The 6,621-nt window shown below is 36.3% G+C and overlaps 1 annotated feature.

Moving 5' to 3' along the window:
* Nucleotides 1,617-2,816: an enhancer, noted in NCBI's record as "BRD4-independent group 4 enhancer chr1:108649881-108651080 (GRCh37/hg19 assembly coordinates)". NCBI's record gives its function as "activates an origin of replication core promoter dependent on BRD2, P300/CBP, MED14 and CDK7 cofactors, and independent of BRD4, by STARR-seq in HCT116 cells {active_cell/tissue: HCT116}" and the evidence as "EXISTENCE:reporter gene assay evidence [ECO:0000049][PMID:35650434]".

Here is a 6,621-nt window from a genome sequence, read left to right as displayed (position 1 = left end):
TTTATTGGTGAATACTAAGAATATTTATTGGCTCTAGGTGCTGGATATATTGTGGTGATCAAATCCAGCATTATGGAGGTAATAGTCCAGCATTTGTGTGTGTGTGTGTGTGGGTGTGGTGGTGGTGCTGGTGGTGGGGGAGGAGGGGAGTTGGTAGCGGGTGATTCCCCAATTAATTCATTACAAATGTTAAAGAATTTTACCATGGAGGAAAAGTGCTACAAGAGTCATTGTTGCTACTCAGCCAGATTAGCCTGCTCTCATATAGCCTTCCCACACCCCATTTCCCACAAGGCCTAGGGTACGCATGCAAAGTGAGTCTGAGCAATATCCTTCGTCACAAGGGAGATAGGCTAATAGTGATTCTCGGTTACAGAAATATCTTTAATGAGATATGTCAAATTGTCAAAATTAAGAGATGAGGGAACAACTGCCAAAGAAAAATTAAAAAAGAAATTGCATCAAGGAAATAATTGCTGAATAACCCCACACTGTCCTATTCTTTTAAGAATATGAACAGAAACACTGTTTTCGGTCTTTGAGAGTTTGGAGTGGGTGTTGGACTCCTCTCAGAAGTCTGGAACAGTTATTGAGCAACTCTACAACACAAGAGTGTGGAAAGAGGGACCAAAGAGCCAGGGAGAACCCCGTGTTCAAGAGTATTCTTACAATATCTCCAGTAATTAGAGATTTGTCTTGTTAACAACCTATTATTAGGGTTAAAGCTGTTAGCAATTTATTTGTTTAGGGTAAATTGCAGGTTTTGAAAGGTAATCTCTTTCCAAGTCCTGGAGAAGATAATCAGCATTGGGATAACAGGAATTTGAGTTGAGGAATTGAGGAGGTCCTATTACTATTCCATGGTATTTAGAGGAAGGACACGACTGCTTAAAGTTGTACCCCTATTAGTTGGCAGAGTTGGAATTGGAACCCAGGATGTTCTGATTGCAGAGTTGATGCTTTAGTTTTATGGAGCACGTCTGGAAAAATAGGGCTGGTGGTATGGTGCAGGGGGAGGAAGACCCAGAATCTGGTGAGAGTGGGATGGAATAATAAAGACACATTAATGTTATAAATTATTATTAGTATACAGATAGCTATAGTATATTGGGTACCTACTCTTTGCAACCTATAGGAGAAGAAAAATAATTTTCCCTCTACCTTTCTAAATTCTCAGCTGGGCCCCTGTAACAAAGGACAGATTGATAAGAGAAAAACAGCAGTTTATTAACATGTATATCACATATGTAACCCATAGGAGTACCCAGAGATGAGTAACTCAAAGGTTTGGTTAGAACTTGAGTTTTTACAAAATCTTAGCAAAAGGACAACTCATTTTTAGTGATAGACAAAGGAAAAGGATCTTGAGTCTCTAGGGGAAGCAAATTGTGGGATGGCAAATATATGGTAAACTAATAGCAGATGAAGGCTGGTTACTAAAATTTGTTGTATAGATTCCTCTGGTGCCATCCCTAGGCTGATAAAAGTTTAAATTTGCCCTCTCTGGGAGAGAGGGGAGGAGGGATACCTTTGTAAATTTATGTCCTGCTTTGTGGCAAATAGGAGGAGGGCAGAGAGCTTTTCTTGTGTCTGTTTCTTCTCAGCTGCCTTTAGCTCAAAATAATTCTTATGCCAAAGTGACATATTTTGGAGAGGCATATTTTGATCTCCTACAAGCCCATCTTATATATATCATATTATTAACCCTCTCAACAACTCTAGGAGGGCTGTATGATCCCCATTTTACAGATGGAAAAAGTAAGGCTGAGAGAAGTTGCATGAAATTCTCTTAGCCACACATCTCCAAAGTCCAGAAAGCAGCCTGATTGCCAGGCAAAGTAAGATCACCTGATTTCCTTCTTACCAGGGCCACAAATTGCTGGTGCTGTTTAGAGAGGGACATGTTCTTAGAACTAGAAGTTGCTTCAACATTGTAATTCTGTCAAAAAAAAAAAAAAAACTGCCTTGGGAAGCAGTTGAGACTCCAAAACTATAATTTTATTAGCTTATTTTCCTACTTTGAATTTGTTACATTAATATGTCGAATTAACCCAGAGCCACATGTAGAGTTTAATTTGTATGTCTTCCTTGGGGAATTCTGGGCCTATTGCAGAAATTCACTTCCACATGTAGCCCTGGACCCTGGAGGGTAAGATAGGGAGGAGTTGCAGGAGGCGCCTCAGATGGAGTCCTGTGGTCCCTGGGCTTCCTGGGAGTGGCCTAGCCTGGCTGTGCGTCAGTTCTGTGTCATCTTCTCCAGACTCTTGATTCCTCTCAGAACAGCATGGAAATCCCCAAGTCACTTAGTGCTACTCTCAAAGTCACCAGAAGACACCTCGTCCCAAAATCATTCAGGAGCATAAGCCCCTGGAAGGCTGGATGACACTGTAAGGCTGTTTTTAGAAATGTAATAACCTGTTTGCCACTTGTATGTCTTCTTTTGAGAAATGTCTATTCAAATCTTTTGCCCATTTTTTGATTGGATAATTGGATTTTTTCCTATAGAGTTATTTGAATCCCTTATATATTCTGATGGAACACATCATATACCACAAAAATATATATACCTACTATGTACCCACAAAAGTTATAAAAAATAATAATTTTTTTAAAAAATGTGGTAACCTCCTGAGCTATAATAATCTGTGCTATGGAAGCTTTTCAGGGAGACTGAGCCGGGGGCCCTGAGTCTCAGGATGGGCTCATGAGTTTTTTTTGCTGGGGGCTGCGGTGAAGGGGCTCCTAGCACTCTTGCTACTCATGCCAGAGCCTAATTTTCCTTTGTGCTCTGTTTACCACCTCCATTTCTTTTTCATGGACTCCCAAGAAAGTCCTGGTTCTCTTGCCATATTACTCAAGTCCTAGGAAGAGGATTGGGTTCACTATTTTCCCTTGGTGTATAAATATAAATTAAATGCCAAGAGTGATGCTGGGCCATACTCACAGATTTGGTAGCTTAATTAACTGTGTTTTCTGGAAATGGAATTAGGCATGCTAATAAGACCTTAAGTCAAACAAGCCAGGCTGACTGATGAAAAAGGGCTTTGCTGACAACTTCATTAAATATATATAAGGAAGTGAGTTAAGCATTTCAGCAGAAAGGAAATCCAGGAGACAGTGGGCAGGAAATAATAGGAGCACCAGCACGGCTTAGAGATAAATGAACAAGAAAAGCAGAGTTCTGAGGATGAGAATAATTGGCTTTGGCTTGGATGTATGCCATTATAGAGAATTAATGAGGCTTTGTTTATACACTCATTACAAAATATTTATGGAGCTATTTCTCCATCCAGGTGCTGTACTAGACAATGGAAAACGGGATGAAGAACAAGATCTACTGCATACCCTTTTGGTACTTCCAAGTGTAATGGACTAACATTATTGGTATTTTGTAGACAACCGTAGCTGTTTGGCAGTTTGGGCAAATTAAATTACTAATATTTTTATTTTAAAAAATCACTATTTTTGAAATATGCAGTCAAAGGTGTCTAAAACTCAAGCATACAGTTTAATAAAAAATCATAAAACAAATACCTGAATAGCTATGTCTCAGCTTAGAAACAGAATATTACTAAACTTTAGAAGGCTCCTGGGACCCCTGTCCCAGTTTAATTCATTTCCCAGCCCCCACCCAAACGTAACTCCCCTGAAATTTCTGTTAGCTATTCTCTTCCTATGGCTGTTTTCCTTTTGTATGTTTCTCTGGACAATATTTTGGAAATCTTAAAGTACGTAAGTGAATCTAAAGATCATTTTATTAACTTCATTATAATATTAACTCTTTCCGTCCAAGAATATGACAGATCTCTCCTTTGTTTAGGTCTTTCACAAGGTCTTGAAATAAAGGTTTATATTTTTTTCTGTAAAAGGTTTTTACATCTTTTGTTAGCTTTTCCTCCTAGATAAATGTATCTTTTCTTAAAAAAATATATCAAATATATCTTTTAAATTTTGGTTTCTGACTGCTGAGAGTATAGAGCAATATAATTGACATTTTTATATGAACTTGGTAAATAGCAATGCTAAAATTTGTTATTTACTCTAATTTTTTGTACTGGTTTTGGATTTGTATGCAAACAGTCATATAATGTGCAAATATTGACATGTGTCTCCCTTTCAAATCTTCATTTTACTTTATTTTATTTCATATTTTTCTTATCTTATTGTACAGGCTAGGATCTCTAGTACAATGTTAAATAGAAGTAGTGGTAAATGGGCATTCATGATTTGTGTCTAAAGGTGGCTGATAGTACAATGCTGAAAGCACTCCTTTTAAGAATGAAGTTTGCTATTAGTTGTTTTTAGATGTCCTTTAATAAGTTAGAGACTTTCTATTTTTAGTATGCTGAGTTTTATTCTTTTTAATCATGAATATTGAATTTTATTAAATGCTTTTCTTATGTCAAATGAGATAAAAAATTTAGATTAATTTATAGTAATTAGCGCTTAATTTTAAATAAAACTTTCATTCCCGAGAATGAAAAACAACTCGATCATGTTGTATTATCATTTTACATGCTTTGAGATTCAGGGTGCTAATATTTTCCTTAAGATATTTACAGTTGTGTTCCTGAGTAGAGCCTGACTTTGGCGATAAATCTCCTTCGTTGTGCTGTCTTCATTTGGTTTGGGTGTGCAATTGTAACAGTAGCCCATAATTTGAGTTGAATTTTTTTTAAATGTTCTCTGGAAGAGTTTATGTAAGATTAGAATAATTATTTACTTAAATGTTTGCTAGAATTTGCCTATAAAGCTCTCTGGGCCTAGTTTTCTTTGTGGGGAGGTTTTACAATGTTGATTAAATTTGTTTAATGGTTATAGAAATATTCAGATTTTCTATTTCTTTGGTTATTGCTGGCAAGGACTTTTCTCCCTGGGGGTTGATATGTTTCAAATGGCTTTCAAATTTACAAAAAAAATTGTTCACAATATCCTCTAGCATCTTTATGTTTCCTGTCTCAGGCCTGAAATCAACTGTTCTTCCAAGGAGCCCAATTTCCATTGGTGAGGAATAGTATTTACACACCAAAATCAAGGTGCAAGCAGTGTTTATTGGTACTAAAATGTTATTGCCTTTAAGCAATTTCAGGGACACAGCTAAGAAAAATGTGTTTTTTGAAAACACTGCAAAAATTCTGAGTTCAAACTGATGATTTTAATTCCAACTTAACACCCAGTATTTTTACTTCTTTGACTTTTTAAATTGTATATTTAAAATCTCACAGTGAAAATTCTGGTTCCTAATAATATTAATATAAGTCTTTATTTGATTTATCCTATAGAAGATATTAATTAGTTTCAAAATAATAATAGCAAATATTATATTAACCATAAGACTATTGGATGAGGTTAAAGATTTCTTTGCATCCTTATTTATCCTTAGAATATATTCTACTAAATAATTACAATCAAATCAGTGTATTCTAAAGTCACTTGAAATACTTTTCTCTATGTTATGTAACCAACTGACATACAAGTAAGTTCATTTCTGTTTCTATTCAATTTCTAAGGATTGCTCTTTAACTTAATTATGTATTTTACAATATATAAAACAACTATATGATTCAAAAATAAAACCATATAATACAGTATGTTGAGATAAATCTTGCTTCCAACACTGTCCCCTTCTCCTTCCAATAATTAACTACTTAAAAAAAGTTTTGGTTTATCCTTCTTTTTGCAAACATGAGCAAATATGTATAACTTGCATTTAAAAAACAGCCTCAAATCCTAGACAGATACAGTATCTTTTCCCCTGAGCCATTATTCCAGTGAAGCATTTCTTGGTTACCACACTGCTAATTCAACCTTTACTACCAGCCTTTAATCAATTTGAAGGTATTTATCCCTGAATTCTGCTGTCCATACCTTTGTCTGGATTTTTGCCCCCAAACTGAGTTTTAATTGGCCCTTATTGTGCCCAAACTTCTTCAATGTTATCTTTTACTGTTTAAGATTGAGAAGATTGCCTTCTGTACTGTATAAGTCCCAGATCTCTTTTCCTCCTTTCTGCAAGCCAGCCAAATCTGCTGTGAACTCACACCATCCCTATGGCTCCTTGTTGAATGTAGACAATCGTAACCAAAACATATAAATAACATTTTGTTTTCTGAACTCTTCCCCTAGGGTTATAAATTCACTAGACATATGATCTGCCTTCCAGGTTGCTATAATGACAGCTTTATCAAATGCTTCCCACAAAGCATAAAATGAATGGCCACTCTAGCCTCTAATTACAGTTTAACTGCTCCTGACCAATGGACCACTAAGGCAATGTCACATATTGAGGGTTTTTTTGTTATAGCAGAATCCCACTTCTGATACCAATTTTTGTTCCTGTGAAGGTAAGCCTAAGTTGTGCTGCAGAACCAAATGACTTCAAAATCTCCATGGCTTAACACAATACAAGTCCAATTTAGGTCTGCAGAGGCTCTGCTAATTGTTACTCCTTGACAAGTGCTTCCATGAGCGTAGTGGTAAGGAAAAGGATGGCTGTGCTGGTCATTTGGCTTTTTGCTCATGGATCTATTTTTTGTCTCTCCCTTGCCTTATTCTGTAATGTAGGAAGTTGACACCTTGTTTCACAGGTTTCCATGTCAGCTGGCTTTTGGTGGGTTTGCT

The sequence above is a fragment of the Homo sapiens genome, chromosome 1 (assembly GCF_000001405.40).
Source record: "Homo sapiens chromosome 1, GRCh38.p14 Primary Assembly".
Taxonomy (NCBI): domain Eukaryota; kingdom Metazoa; phylum Chordata; class Mammalia; order Primates; family Hominidae; genus Homo; species Homo sapiens.
The sequence above is the reverse complement of the archived record's forward strand: the minus strand, read 5'-3'. Positions and strand labels throughout refer to the sequence as shown.